The sequence below is a fragment of the Homo sapiens genome, chromosome 13 (genome assembly GCF_000001405.40).
Source record: "Homo sapiens chromosome 13, GRCh38.p14 Primary Assembly".
Classification (NCBI taxonomy): domain Eukaryota; kingdom Metazoa; phylum Chordata; class Mammalia; order Primates; family Hominidae; genus Homo; species Homo sapiens.
The window spans coordinates 23,351,350-23,367,824 of record NC_000013.11 but is presented as its reverse complement, the minus strand read 5'-3'; the positions used below and the strand labels follow the sequence as shown (position 1 = coordinate 23,367,824).

General features: G+C 39.9%; 1 protein-coding gene across 16 annotated transcripts in view; it reads left to right on the top strand.

The window, feature by feature from the left end:
* Nucleotides 1–16,475, top strand: part of SACS (sacsin molecular chaperone) — a 104,873-nt gene that overhangs the window by 65,878 nt on the left and 22,520 nt on the right. For 9 of the 16 annotated variants that reach the window (NM_014363.6, NM_001437336.1, XM_047430256.1 and 6 more), the window contains 4 exons: nt 2,548–2,659; nt 9,344–9,490; nt 11,818–13,306; nt 13,949–14,040. In NM_014363.6, coding sequence (NP_055178.3) covers nt 2,548–2,659; nt 9,344–9,490; nt 11,818–13,306; nt 13,949–14,040 — 1,840 coding nt within the window. The remainder of the gene's footprint in view (nt 1–2,547; nt 2,660–9,343; nt 9,491–11,817; nt 13,307–13,948; nt 14,041–16,475) is intronic. The other 7 variants (XM_047430261.1, XM_047430257.1, XM_047430262.1 and 4 more) reach the window with 1 other exon arrangement.

Sequence of the window (16,475 nt, the reverse complement as noted above, 5' to 3'; positions counted from 1 at the left end):
GTCAGGAGTTCGAGACCAGCCTGGCCAACTTGGCGAAACCCCGTCTCTATTAAAAGTACAAAAATTAGCCAGGCATGGTGGTGGCTGCCTGTAATCCTAGCTACTCAGGAGGCTGAGGCAGGAGAATCGCTTGAACCCGGAGGCAGAGATTGCAGTGAGCCGAGATTGCGCCACTGCACTCCAGCCTGGGCAGCAGGAGCCACACTCCGTCTCAAAAAACAAACAAACAATAAAACAACAAAAAAAGAAAAACCAATAATCATCAAAGAAAGCAATAATGGGAGATACTGCAAAAATTAGATTTTGTGTTTAATAAGAAACTTCCTTAATTGTCAAAGTAGACCAGTTGTTATGCATTTTCCTTCCCATTAGCTTGTTTAGTGTTTATTACCTTCAGTATCTTGGCCCTGGTTATATTTTCTAGTTTAGATTGTAAACTGTGAGGGAATCAGGACTAGGTCTCTTTAATTTAAGAGAGTCATGCTCAGGTAGGCACTCACTGAGGACTGTTGTGTCTTTAGTGATCATGGTGAGACTGGGCTGTTGGAGCAGTCCATCTTTCAGCATAGGCACCAGTGGTTCACAGAAAGCGAATTCAAAAACAGTTTTTGTATTGACTTATTAGGAAAGTGAGGATGGAAAGAGTATTGCTACGAGGTGGTTTTGGGGTAGAAAGAAGTGAATAGAATACATTTAAAATAAAGGTATAGTGGTAACAGGAGTAGGTTGTCATCTGTTTAGAAGTGAGCGAGTGGGATCCTTGCTGAGAAATGAGAAAGGTCTATGGCAAACAGCTGAGGGCTACGCGCCTTCTGCTTTGCTTATAGATATATTTGTATTGTAGCCAGTTCAATGTAATCTTTGTTCCTTGGATGTTGTGGTAGAATTAGACTGTTTTAGATTTAATAGGAGTCTTAGAAATCACCAAGACCTACACCACCACCTTCTATGGTATTTGTGTTTGCTGAAACAGGTCCAGAGATCTTAGTGGCTTGCCCAAGACCAAATACAAAATGTATTGTTGCTGTTTCCCAGAGTTAGTTTACAAACAATCTCTCAGGATTGCAATTTAGGGGAAAAGCTTCCTATCCTATTTTTTATTCAACTTGAGAATGAGTGGAACCTGGGACTTAGATTTTATCTTTAGTTTTCTGCCTCTCTGCTCCCTAAAGTACACATAAATAATAAATAGATACCTGAATGAAAACAAGGTCGAACATCTAAAGTGCTATCATTTTGTAAGTTAACATTGTTTTTCACTACCTATTTAATTCTTATTTCCATCCTTCATATTATTATAATATCCTAATGTAAATAAGATTGTTAATTTTTAGGGATTCTCTGGGATTGAATGAGGCCTAAAAAATTAAAATCCCATGAGAAATAGTTAGTTACGTAACAAGGAAGAATCACTAGCTGATAATGAGGCTGCAGGAGGCACGACTTAGCTGTTCATGTTTGGGGTGGAACAGCTGGTGGGTACCACACTCCAGCCCTTTGGGATGCACTGGGTGAACTGAGCACAATCTCAGAACTGACTTTTCACTTCTGCTCCCTCAGTCTCCTTGTAGTTATTTTGTTTCATGTAGTCATCGTACCACCTCTCTACTCTGATGTAGGCATCACTGTTGACATTGTTGTAGTATCAGTTAAAGTGCTCTTCAATTTTTGCCCATCTGTACCTCCAATTTAGTGATCCCAAGGCTCTGGGGAAGTAAAAAAGCTCTTTTGATGATCATGGGGTTGGATCTAGGAGCTGATTCTTGATTCAGATTCTGGAGCTCCCTTCAAACTGAACGGAGCCCAGCGTGATTTTAGTAGGTGTGCAGAAGTGATTGGGGTTGTTAGGATTGGAAATTTTGTTGAGGCAAATCTTGCAGTTTGCCCTTTCCTTTCTACATTACGGGGAGCTGGTCACCCTTCCACTCACCCACCATTCACCAAACAAATGGTAGTGCTTTCTTCTTGATGAAAGGAATGAGTCAGTCCTGACCATCTGGAAGCTTTCAGTTTAGTGCAGGACAAAGACATTTTTATATCTCAGGCTCTCAAGAAAGCAGCCAATTGAAGGGTATATATAGATTGCTACTATTTGGTTTTATTGTTTTTCTGTGGAAAGGTAAGTTTAGTAAGCAAAGGATAAAAAAGGTCTATTTTTGGCAATCACTCAAGCTTAAGTTACCTGCCACACAGGACGATATGTGCAGCTTTTGGAAATAGAATAATTTCCTTTGAACAAAAGCTTTGGGTAGATTGTAAATATGAGACAGTTATAAATAGGGCCCAGGATTAATTTGCTAAGTGATAGCAAATTAAAAGACAAAATTTAAGTGCAAATAATTGGAGAAGGACTTTTCAACCATACTGTCACATCTATGTAACAATTACTTTCAGTAGTAGCCTCACCAGATCTTAAAGGTAATGTTGCAAATAGTGGGTTTCCTTTATTTAAGTATATTAACTTCTTAAATATTATAGATAAATACAAAGATGAGCAGTAGATTACTGTGTTATTAATTACTATTTTTTGGTATATTTTTTGGTTAGGAATTAATTCAGAATGCAGAAGATGCTGGGGCGACAGAAGTTAAATTTTTATATGATGAAACTCAATACGGAACAGAGACTCTTTGGTCAAAAGATATGGCGCCATATCAGGGTAAGAATCAATAATTAGGAACAAATTTTATTGTATGCACTAACAGGCAGTTTTTAATGATTAATAATGCTTTGTTTAATGAACAGTCTATCATTTGTACTTTTTGGCATGTTTATGTCCACTTCTTCAGATGTTTTTCTCTGCTTTTGGTGGGAAGGTGTCTCCACCAGTTGGTATTTTTAGAGAACAAAGAATAAAATCTGAAAACTCAAAATGACAAGCAATGTAATGACCAAAGCCTCTTATTCTATTCAAACAACTTGTATTTTATATTATCAGTAGGATAAAGGGACACCATTTATGTATAGTAACACTTTCCTGCATTTGGAAAGATGTTGTGAAAGGCCATGCTTTTGTGTATTTTCCGCTTTAGGAGTACCCTCGACATTGTTTGGAAGTTGGGTGGGAAGAAAGATTGAAGGAGAGGAGAGAACAAGGAAAATGAAAGGAAACATGATAAGAAAGCCATAAACTAATAAATTATTAATCCAATAAGAACCCTAACCAATAGACTCCTAATATCTCACTTCTACTCCGGGGAGCTTTGGTGTCAAAAAGAATGTTCATAAATTGTAGTATACCTCTGGCTGGGTGCGGTGGCTCACGCCTGTAATCCTAGCACTTTGGGAGGCTGAGGTGGGCAGATCACCTGAGGTCAGGAGTTTGGGACCAGCCTGGCGAACGTGGCAAAACCCCGTCTCTACTAAAAATATAAAAATTAGCTGGGCGTGGTGGCAGACGCCTGTAATCCCAGCTACTCAGGAGGCTGAGGCCGGAGAATCGCTTGAACTCGGGAGGCGGAGGTTGTAGTGAGCCGAGATCACATCACTTCAATTTAGTATACCTCTGAAGTCATTGTCAATGACTGTATGTGACAGAAAGTTACTGAGAAAAAGTGGGATCAAGTCAGACCTTCTGAGACACCTTTTTAAAGAGATTTAAGTCATGTATTTTTAAAAAGATGTTTTATGATTTAGGAGGCCAGTTAACATTTAGTTAAATATCTAGCATTTGTTATGTCTCATATAGTCATTCTTAGCTCACATTTGTCACTTGAAAGTTGTACTTTCTATACTCTATAAAAAGAGGTGTGTGGGACATAACATCAGGAGGTGTGCGTTCTAGTCCTGACTGCTGCTACCTTAGTGACTTGGGCCAGTCATCACAGAGGTCAGATCATTTTTATAATAAGAGGATTAGCCTGCAAGGTATCTTGTCTCTAAGAGCCTGTGACTTAATGTAACATTGGATTCAAGAGACTTCAGGTTAAGTCCTAATCCTACACAGTACTACCCCATTGTACTGCCCCCCAGGCACTGTTACACTCAGTGGCAGCTGTGACCCTCACACTGACTTACTGCTTGCCTGCAAGTGGTATGAGAAAATCTTTCTCCCACATAGTTTGAGGATTATATGAGATAATATATGTGATAATGTTTTATACCTGGTATCATACTGATGACGGTATGTGCTGTGGAACTGCTAAGGTAAGAGTGTAAGGAGAGCCTATGATGTTTTTGCTTCTAGCCTTGACTTCACCTTGTTTTAAAAAACATTTGAAACTGGATTATTTTGCGAGTTTATGCATAGGTATATTTAGAGATAGGCTCTTTAAAAGTGGCCAATTTAAAATAAACGTGGGCTGGGTGCGGTGGCTCACACCTGTAATCCCAGCACTTTGGGAGGCCAAGTGGGCAGATCACCTGAGGTCAGGAATTCGAGACCAGCCTGGCCAACATGTTGAAACCTGTCTCTACTAAAAATACAAAAATTAGCCAGGTGTGGTGGCGGGCACCTGTAATCACAGCTACTTGGGAGGCTGAGGCAGGAGAATCGCTTGAACCTGGGAGGCAGAGGTTGCAGTGAGCCAAGACCCCACTATTGCAGTCCAGCCTGGGCAACAAGAGCGAAACTGTGTCTCAAAAATAAATATATAAGTAAGTAAAAAATAAATGTAGGCCAGGTGCGGTGGCTCATGCCTGTAATCCCAGCACTTTGGGAGGCTGAGGTGGACAGATCACCTGAGGTCAGGAATTTGAGACCAGCCTGGCCAACATGGTGAAACCCCATCTCTAATACAAATACAAAAATTATCTGGGCGTGGTGGTGAGCACCTGTAATCCCAGCTACTTGGGAGGCTGAGGCAGGAGAACCCTTGAACCCGGGAGGCAGAGGTTGCAGTGAGCTGAGACTGTGCCATTGCAGTCCAGCCTGGGCAACAAGGGCGAAACTCTGTCTCAAAAATAAATACATACATAAATAAAAAATGAAATAAATGCAGGCTGGGCATGGTGGCTCCTGCCTGTAATCCCAGCACTTTGAGAGGCTGAGGCAGGTGGATCACCTGAGGTCAGGAGTTTGAAACCAGCCTGGTCAACATGGCGAAACCCTGTTTCTACTAAAAATACAAAAATTAGCCGTGCGTGGTGATGCATATCTGTAATCCCAGCTACTCAGGAGGCTGAGGCAGGAGAATCACTTGAACCTGGGAGGTGGAGATTGCAGTGAGCCGAGATCTTGCCACTGCACTCCAGCCTGGGTGACAGAGTGAGACTCCATCTCAAAAAAAAAAAAAAAAAAAAAAGGAATGTATTATATAAAAGCAGGTGGCAGTGATCTCTGATCTCTTTATTTAACAAACATTTATTGAGAGCCCTCCAGGCTCTTGTGTATTTGAGAATATCTTTCTCTTGCATTCAGATGTGAGCAGTCATCTTGTATCATGGCTTTTCCCCTTTACTGGCACTTTGTTTCACAGCCAGAAGCTCTTAAGGTCAACTTATTTTTATTCATTTTTATATAATGAGATAATAAAAGGCTCAGATTGTCAAATCACATGCACAAGAATGAGAGCTCTCACCCAGTATAACACACTTTACTAAGGATTTCAAGGATACAGCTGATTATAAGACACAGGGGAAGGAAGCACGGAGAGTCCCTCTGTGCTGCACTAGGACACACCTTGGCCTGGATCTCACGGAGTTGGTTTCTGAGTGATGCACACAGACCAGCACTTAACAGAGGGAGCTATTTCAGTCATAAAACATGTACATGATTTTCTCTGATAATCAACATAACTTGTGACATTTTCAAGGGGATTATGCCTCTTAAATATATAAATTCCAAGCTTATTTCCAATAAGCAACTTCTGTAAAGTATCCAGTAGCTAAGGACTCTTCCTAGTAAACACCGTGTATGTGCTTGCCTAGAGGTCTGTCATCAGCATGTTAACAAGGAGATTTGGCTGGGTCATCTCTTTCTTTCTTGGGTATTCCCTGGGGAAAGGGGGAAATAGACTGCAGGCCTGCTCCCAGCTCTTTCCTTCCCAGACAACCTTTTAATTTTTCTCTCAGGATGTTTATTCCTTTTTTTTTTTTCCTTCTTTTTCGAAACGGAGTTTTGTTCTTGTTGCCCAGGCTGGAGTAAAGTGGCGTGATCTTGGCTGTCTGCAGCCTCTGCCTCCTGGGTTCAAGGGATTCTCCTGCCTTAGCCTCCTGAATAGCTCGGATTATAGGCTTCTGCCACCATGCCCAGCTAATTTTTGTATTTTTAGTAGAGACGGGGTTTCACCATGTTGGCCAGGCTGGTCTCGAATTCCTGACCTCAGGTAATCTTCCCACCTCGGCCTCCCAAAGTGCTTGGATTACAGGCGTGAGCCACCATGTCTGGCCAGGATGTTTGTTCCTTTCTTATCTTACTTTTAGAACCAAGAACACATCGTTTTGATCAGAGTAGATACAGGCCATTTTAAAATTGATCTTGGTAATAGAGGCAGAGAGTGAACCAATGAGACTGAGTTGATTACAGCAAAGGCAGAATACTGCTTCTCTCCTAATTCCAGGATGAATATGATCAGAATTATACCTTGATTAAAAACATTAAATGATAACTAGATTCTTCCTGCCCCCGACTTCTCGTTTTCTTTACTGAGGAGGGCTGTCTGTATGCTCTGCCTGGTTCTGCCACTGAGCAGCCAGGGTGTAAGGAAAGCTCCAGATCCCAGACCCCGGGACAGTTGCACTCCTAGGGGTAATTTTCACCATGTTTCCTCTTCCCAGGAGTTGCACTGACGTTGTAGGGTGAGAGACAGCAGTTCTGACAGTCAAAAAACCTTGGAGGGTGGGGGCTCACGCCTGTAATCCCAGCACTTTGGGAGGCTGAGGCAGGTGGATCACCTGAGGTCAGGAGTTCAAGACCAGACTGACCAATATGGTGAAACCCCACCTGTACTAAAAATACAAAAATTAGCTGGGTGTGGTGGTGTGCGATTGTGGTCCCAGCTACTTGGGAGGCTGAGACAGAAGAATTGCTTGAACCCGGGAGGCGGAGGTGCAATGAGCTGAGATAGCATCACTGCACTCCAGCCTGGGCAACAAGAGTGAAACATTGTCTCAAAAAAAAAAAAAAAAAAGTACCTTGGAGAGTGGGGATCTGAGGGGAATTTTATTTTCATGCAAAACACTTACTTATTTGCATTTTTTAAGAGAAGGGCTATGATTTTGGAATTTAACAAATGCTTCCTATAAGCAGGCAGTAAGGGGTCAGCGGTCAGCTGTCCAGTTTTCCAGTTGACAGTGGGAAGGAAGGTGGGTGTCCTTCAGGCAAGGCGGACTGTGTTCCTGGTAATGTCATGTGCGTGTATCCCCTGCTGAAAATTTTAATTTCCTTCCACAGACCTTGTAGTTATTCGAGTTCTTTCTAGATTCTGGCAAGAGGTTCATTCTCGAGCCTGGTGTTCAGTGTTGTGACTTTTTGTGGTCCTTTTTTTTTTTTTTTTGTCTTTGTAGATACTTTTAATGGACATTTGGAACCAGACACTGCTTGTTAGAAGCCATTTTAAGTTAGCTGTTGGGTAGGAACAAGATATTTAATTACTATTCCTGTAATATTTAATATGTAAAATTATATATTACATAAAGACTGACAGTATCATATACTCATACTGCTTATAATAACAGTAATGATAGCTGATGTTTTTAGGGGTCTGCTCTGCTGGGTTCTATGCTGAGCCCCGTATTTGTGCTGTCTCATTGGGTCCCCAGCACTTTTGCAGTGGACAGAGTTCTTACTGTGCAGATGAGGAAATGGAGCCTTGATGGCTTTAGTTTCTGGAAGTGCTGTGGCTGTAACTGGAGAGCTGGGCCTGACATCCTGACTGCAGAGTCCCCACTCCACTCCACAGAAGGCCTTTGCAGCCTTGACTGTTTGCACTTTCCAACTTTAACTATTTTAAAAATAGTAGTCATGCCATTTTTGTAAAACAAACTGGGTCACATCCCCATGTCTGTCCCTGAATTGATGGGAGGATGAGGAGAGGCTTCTGGGGGTGCTGGGAGTGCCCTATATACCTCATGTGGATGGAGATGACACAGGTTCATCTGCTTTGTAGGAATTCATCAAGCTGCAGCCTCAAGATCATCATACTTTATTGTGTATATATTATACTTCAGTACCTTTTTGAATGAAAAATATTAATCATCTTTAAAGTAAGATGAGTGAATATAGTTGAATATATTCAAAGAATGTTAGAGATTCTGAAGGCAGGTCTCACAAAATGGAGTTCCAAAAATATTTTGTGCAGAAATATTTTATAAATATTACTTTTTGAAGGAAATACTTTGGAGATAGTTGATATTATTTTACATAGGTGGTATAATTGCAGTATTATTTAAACATTTGTCACATTAATGGTTTTTAAAATCATACAAGTAATGCCTTGTATAGAACAATCTAGAGGCTGATAAAAAAACTTCAAACACTTACAAGGTGATTATTAATCTTACTAAAGGATTATTTTTCACCTTATGAAATAAGATTTATTTTTTAAAATAAATTGTGTATATTTAAGGCATACAACATGTTAAAAGATATATGTGTGTGTGTATAGTAAAATGGTTATATATTAAAACAAATTGACATATCATCTCACATAGTTTCTTTACATAGCAAGTCTCCATATTTCTTTTTCTTTTTTCTTTTTTTTTGAGACGGAATCTTGCTCTGTTGCCCAGGCTGGAGTGCGGTGGCGCGATCTCGGCTCACTGAAGCCTCTGCCTCTCGGGTTCAAGCAGTTCTCCTATCTCAGCTTCCCAAGTAGCTGGGATTACAGGCGCGTGCCACCATGCCCAGCTAATTTTTTGTATTTTTTAGTAGAGATGGGGTTTTGCCATGTTGGGCAGGCTGGTCTGGAACTCCTGACCTCAGGTGATCTATACGCTTTGGCCTCCCAAAGTGTTAGGATGCTGGGATTACAAGCATGAGCCACTGCGCCCAGCCCATATTTTCATCTGTTTTATGAAATATATGAAATATTTTATATTTATTTGGTAAATATTTTCCATTTACCAAAAAAAGATTTAAATATACTATTTAGAACAAATTTCACGTAGAGTAGTAACTGATTTTCTTGTTTGCCTTATGTTTTTGGGTATCTGAGTAACCTTTAATTTTTCCTTTTTGGATTTTTGGCCAACAATAGTATATTTCTTCTGCTGCTAATTTTTACTTCAGTGTGTGTCTTTATTTTTATTGTAAAAACAGAATTATAGTGTGGAATTCAGTCACTCTATTCACTCCTCTCTATTTTCCCTTCGAATAAGAGATTTTGTATAGAGGATCTCTTGAGATAGAACAGAACACCCTGGTATCTTTTTTGAATTCCTGCCTGCGCATTTTCACACCTAGGGCCAGCTCTCTATGTGTACAACAACGCGGTTTTCACCCCAGAGGACTGGCACGGCATTCAAGAAATAGCAAGAAGCAGGAAAAAGGATGATCCTCTGAAGGTCGGAAGATTTGGAATTGGGTTTAATTCTGTCTATCATATAACAGGTAGAGTATTAGGCTTTTCGGTCTTGGTATTAGAAAATATTATATCTTACATTCTGTAATGTATTTGGTTAACTTCAGAGGTGATACTGTTTAAAAGCCATCTTACCCAAATTCTTCTGTCAGTAGCAGGAGGTATGTCAATGAAATATCAGTGCATACTGAATTTTCTGAAATTACCACAGTAACAATACCAAAGTTTTCCTTCATCATGTGATGCCAAAAGTTAACATCATCATGATCCAGTGGAATCAGTGTAACATATTAAGCCATTTGATGTGGAAATACAGCTTTTGAACACAAAATTTTTACTCTGAAAAATTTCAAAACTGCAACTCTTCAAGTCAAACAAACTGAGTATCACAGATCTTCTTGTACATGTTCTAAATATCAGAAGGTTAAACAGGAAGGTATAATATCTAATGGTATTGAATAACTGAGAAAGTGAAAATCTTTGAGGTGGTTCTGGTATCTCTTATTTTCCTTCCTCATTCTACTCTTTTTAGACTTATAAGCATTCTAAAGATTACTTTGAAATCATATTTTTAATCTAGAAAGAATATGAGGTTTCTGGTTCCTAGTTAACAATAGGAAATACTTAACTCAGTGTGGACATCTCTGAGAGTATATGGCTCTTGTAGAATCAAAGCTCTTAGTACTGATTATAGTTTTGTGATAAAAAATTTTGTAATGGAGTTGGTCCTTTTAGTTTCAAACTGTGTCTTGCAGGAGAAGGAAAGATTGCACAGGCAGGGCTATCACTGTAGCCAAGATGACTGTATACTTTATTATTCATACTGGGACACGTGTGAGAGTGAAGGAGGGTGGTACTATTCTCAGACTACTGGCCTGAATTGGGACTGCCCTGGGCAAGTGGGAAGTAGGGTCATCCCAACTCTAGCCAAATTTTAGTAAGCCTGTTGCATTTACATTCATACATATATATTCTATTAAATAATATTGACTAAATTACAAATCATATAATCAAAATTAAATTATATATTAAAATATGACTATTATCTATGAATATTAATACTCGTGTCCACCTCTTTGTAAGTTATCCCACAAGTCTGTGCCATGTAGTAGTTTGTAAATGTTGTGGGACACAGATGTGAGTAGCAAAAGCCTGGAGGCTTAAGCAGGAATGAACTGTGGCGTGAGAGCCCAGCTAATTGCCCAGCACCTGCATCTCAGTGTGGTTTTGATTGCTCATTGAGAATAAGCACATTTGTGTGGAACATTAACTGGAGGACTCTTCTCTAAACCAAGGATTTGAGAAGGTCATAGGTCATAGGTCATGCTTTTATCTTGTCAGGAGCCACCTGGCCTGATTTCATTCATGGGGGTGCGACTCTGTGCCTTGGGAGCAGGGTTGAGCATTCCCTAGACCCCACTGTCCATGGATTTAGCCATGTGGTTGGTGGACATAACATTTGCTAACTTAAAATACCCACAAGCTTGGGAGTTGGTGATTGTGACAGCTGAAGCTGTGCTTGACGACCGTAGGTATTAAAGATTGACTTCACTGGAGTTGCATCTTGCAGGAAACCCAGGTGCTAAGTAAGCATGTGAGGCAAGCATACATCACATCACCCTTGGGAGATCTTCACCAAAGCACACTGGGGAGGAATTTCTCTCATCACAGTGGGTCTCACACATCTGGTTTTTCTGCCAGTTTTTGAATACTACTCTGTCCTTGGTTGAGGAACAGGTGAAGCAGCTGGTATCAATTTAGAGGCCATGTTATACAAAAGATGGGTATCTTTCAATACTGTAATTAGGCTCCACGTGGTGAGATGCTCCCAGCAAGAGAAGTGCTTCCGCTCCAGAGGCAGAGAGGTTAAGACCCCTTGAGGGAATGTACCTCATGAGCTTCAGGGCAGGCACTCACTGAGCAACACAGTGGGCAGAGTCACCTGCATTGTACTGCTCTCTGTCTCTTCTTACAGAGTCTATGCTGAATTTGTAAAGTTGAGCATAGGATGCAGTCCTGTTCTGTCGAATTGGGCTCACATGGTGGTGGGGGTTAAGTGTATATATCCAAATACTCTGCCCATCTTTTGTGTAGTGAGTTTTTGAAGATGTCTCCTAGGTTTTCACAGTAATCATGCAAAGTCTCTATGCCTGGCATTTGTTATTGGATTGAATCAAAAGAGAAATCATTTTTCATGTTCAGAGAATTACATTTCTGAAGGTAAATTAAGTTTGTGTTTAGATAAATCTGTTTTAGTCATTTAATGGCTCATGCTTTTTCATATATTTATTATAATTGTAATCATAATTGTCCCTAAAATTTCAGAGTTGATCATGACTTAAATTTTTCTTTACAGATGTTCCTTGTATCTTTAGTGGTGACCAAATCGGGATGCTAGATCCTCATCAAACACTTTTTGGCCCACATGAATCAGGCCAATGTTGGAATCTCAAAGATGACAGCAAAGAAATTAGTGAACTTTCAGACCAGTTTGCACCATTTGTTGGCATTTTTGGAAGCACCAAGGAAACATTTATAAACGGCAATTTTCCAGGAACATTTTTCCGTTTCCCTCTTCGCCTACAACCTTCACAACTTAGTAGTAACCTCTACAATAAGCAGAAGGTTCTTGAGTTGTTTGAGTCTTTTAGGGCAGATGCAGACACAGTGCTGCTCTTTCTGAAAAGTGTGCAGGATGTTTCCTTATATGTCCGAGAGGCTGACGGAACAGAGAAACTGGTGTTTAGAGTGACTTCGAGTGAGAGTAAGGCACTGAAACATGAGCGGCCGAATTCTATAAAGATTCTGGGAACTGCTATAAGTAACTATTGTAAAAAGACTCCAAGCAATAACATCACCTGTGTAACATATCACGTAAATATTGTTTTAGAAGAGGAGAGTACTAAGGATGCACAGAAAACATCTTGGTTGGTGTGTAACAGTGTGGGTGGGCGAGGGATCAGTAGTAAGCTTGACTCTTTAGCTGATGAACTGAAATTTGTCCCAATCATTGGAATAGCCATGCCTTTATCAAGCAGAGATGATGAAGCAAAAGGAGCAACGTCTGATTTCTCAGGAAAAGCATTTTGTTTCCTTCCTTTACCACCTGGTGAGGAAAGCAGCACAGGCCTCCCAGTTCACATCAGTGGGTTCTTTGGCCTTACTGATAACCGCAGGAGCATAAAATGGAGAGAGCTGGACCAGTGGAGAGACCCGGCAGCCTTATGGAATGAGTTTCTTGTCATGAATGTTGTCCCCAAAGCTTATGCTACTCTGATCTTAGATTCAATAAAACGTCTGGAGATGGAAAAGAGCTCTGATTTCCCCTTGTCAGTTGATGTTATCTATAAGCTTTGGCCGGAGGCGAGCAAAGTCAAGGTGCACTGGCAACCGGTGTTAGAGCCTCTATTCAGCGAGCTGTTGCAGAATGCAGTGATTTATTCAATTAGCTGTGACTGGGTCAGGTTGGAGCAGGTGTACTTCTCAGAACTTGATGAAAATTTAGAATACACAAAAACTGTGCTCAACTACCTCCAGAGCTCAGGGAAGCAGATTGCCAAGGTACCAGGGAATGTGGATGCTGCTGTTCAGCTCACAGCTGCCTCTGGCACAACACCTGTGAGGAAGGTGACGCCCGCGTGGGTGCGGCAGGTGCTGCGGAAGTGTGCACACCTGGGCTGTGCTGAAGAAAAGCTTCACCTTCTAGAATTTGTGCTTTCTGACCAAGCCTACAGTGAGCTGCTTGGGCTGGAGCTGCTCCCTTTACAAAATGGCAATTTTGTCCCCTTCTCCTCATCTGTATCAGACCAAGATGTCATTTATATTACCTCAGCAGAATATCCAAGGTAGGGGTCCCCCTTCTAACATTCCTGTTCACTCTTAGGGTTCCCCTGCTCCTGCTCACTGTGAGAGTCCTTTGTTGTGAAATTCAATGGTTTTCTATGTCGATTTTATAGTTAGGAAGACTTTTGCAGAAATACATTGTTAAAATACCAAAGGATACATTTTATATTCTAAAATGAAAAAGTATTCAAATGTTTATCAGTTGAAAAGTTATCTAAGCAGCTGTTTTTCTTGGAAATTTCAATAGCAGAACACTGAAAACAATGTTTATAAAGTGCAAATAATAACAAGGCCAGATTAGTCACTAATGAATTATTTTGATAATATTTAAATTCATGAAAAATAGTATATTAAGTAATTCTTTATAAACGAGAGTGTACTGACATTTCAGGAAATAAAATTAATTTTACTGTAAGATGTTGAGAATATTTCTGAATTTGAGTAAAGTACATGATGCCTTCACGTTTTAAAGCAAAGTCTAGATAATATTTGATCAAAAATATTGTAATTTGATTTGATGTGTGCATTATAATTTATGTAAAATAAAATAGTCGGCTTAACTGACTTGAAAATATGTGATTGTTTTTTTAAAATCTTGGAATTGTGGGAAGATTATGATGATTGCTGTTCCTTTCCCTTTTCAGGTCCCTTTTCCCAAGTCTTGAAGGAAGATTTATTTTGGATAACTTGAAACCTCACCTTGTGGCTGCTTTAAAGGAAGCTGCCCAAACCCGAGGTATTATAGTTTAGTATTCTTTTAAATAAACTTCTATATAAAAATACAAGTTTTTTAAAAGTTTTCTGTTATTCATTTTAGACCTATAAATCAACAATTTCTTATGGCTCAAGCTAATAAACTTTTTGTGTTTTAAGATATTTCAGTTGCCAGAATGGCATCTAAGAGATGCTGTCTAAAAGAATCCAGAGGTGATAAGTGTAAAAATCTCTCCTGTCATGGTGTGATGGTGTAGTCAACATCTTATACCTGCATGGTGCTTTACAGTTTTCCAGTGCTTTCCCATTTCTTTTTTCATTTGAGCCTCCCAGCATAACTTGTAGCTTGTTTGGTAATGACAGTGATTATTAAATTTCACAGAAGAGGAGAGAGAAAGGTTAAGATCAAGACCACCAGCCAAGTGCCGAGAGGTCAGGTCTTCCACTTGCCCTGTCCTTGCTCTATTTCTGACACCACTGCCCCTCCATGGTTTTATGTAGTTATGATGCTGGGTTTGCATTAGGCTTGATCAGCTTCTGGGAAGTGTGGACAAATCCAATTAACTCTGTAACAGGGGCAGGAAAAGGGTCTTGCGGGGGTCTTAAAGTGATGGGTGTCTGATAGGTGTCCTTTTAGGAAAAGACAGTAATTTTGGGAAAACAGTCAACATGGTTCTAATTTTAATACTACCTTTCAACTTCTGCAAGCATCCTTTTCCTTGTGAAACTGTTACCTGAGCTTTTTCTAAGTGAGATGTTGTCCTGAAAAGTTCTGGGTTTGTCCTGCTGTTCACATTGTCAAGCATACTCTGTGATGTGTCTTTTATGGAATGTACTTTTTTCTTGTCCAGGATAATGGCTTAGGGAAAGTTGCTAATCATTGTACACCTTTATTCATTAAAATATAAGTGAAATGAGTTGGAATGGGAGAGGCAAGTTAGGTTGGAGTTAAAGTGAGAGTAAAAGAAAATGAGTAGGCAAATGTTGTTTCCCATCAGGGATTTGCATCTATGAGTTGGTAGCTGTGAGACTGACTTTTCAAACGTCTGAGTTACTCATTTAATTGTAATTGTCATCTTCAAAACAACCTTTTTGAAAGTCTAAGCCTGGATTCCTATAAGCCTGCCAATCTTTGCTCTAACGATTTGGAACTCCTTTTTTTTTAATGTTGTATTATATTTTTGTTAAAATTTTGTGTTGAAATATAAGATGCATATAGAACAGTGCACATATCATAAATGTAGGCTTAGTGAAATTTTACCATCTGAACATACCCATGTAAACCTAGATCAGAACGCAGAAGATTACCAGAAGATTACACAGAAGATTACCAGCCCCAAAAGCCCCTCTCTTGCCTTTTTCAGTCTGACCATTCCAGGGTAGCCATGACACTGGCTTTAACAGCATAGATTCACTTTGCTAGTTAATCATGCTTTGTATAGAAGGAGCCATGTGGCATATATTCTGCGTCTGGCTTTTATTTGCTGTGATGCTGGTGAGATTCATCCAGATTGTTGCATGGAGCTGTTAACAGTTCTTTCTGATTGTTACGGTATTTTACTGTGTGGTTTATTACTTTCTTTTAAAGAAAATATTTTTGTTGGTGGCAGATCCTTTCTAAGGTGGATGTGGATTTGGAAATCGGCCAAAAGTTATTCAGGGCCAAATCAGGTGAGAAGGGTAGAAGGTCAGCAGAGCATTCTGTTTTTGCTCAGCATTTTCCAAATATCTTGTGGCACAGAGTGTGGCTACAACTTGCTTCTCTAGCCCTGGGTGGATGGGGCAAACCTGTTATATTTTTAGGGATGAGTTAAATGTATAAATTAATATAGAAAACTTGACATCTTTCAAAGTTGCATTTTCCCACTTTTATATGTCTTCATTTTCTCTACTATGGATTCAAGTTGTTATTTTGGTGTCATAATGAAACACTGTGTTTTGTCTCTGGTCTTGGTTAGTTTTCTTGGCATTGTGACACTAGATGTTCATCTAGTGTTTCTGTTAATCACACATCATGTGTGGGTTAGCACTCCCAGAAATTGTCTTGATGGTCACTTTTCTTTATCTAGATTTAAGAGTTAGGCTACTATTTTCATGATTATTTAATAACCCTCATAACTAGCTGTATTAGTCTGTTTTCATGCTGCTGATAAAAACATACTTGAGACTGGGTAATTTGTAAATAAAAAGAAGTTTAATGGACTCACAGTTCCACATGGCTGGGGAGACCTTAGAATCATGGCAGAAGGCTAAAGCCACATCTTACTTGGCGGCAGGCAAAAAGAGAAGGAAAGCCAAGAGAAGGGGGTTTTCCCTTATAAAACTATCAGCTCTTGAGACTTAGTCAGTACCATGAGAACAGTATTCGCTACCACGAGAACACCACCCCTATGATTCAATTATCTCCCACCGGGTCCTTCCCACAACACATGGGAATTATGGGAGTTACAAGTCAAG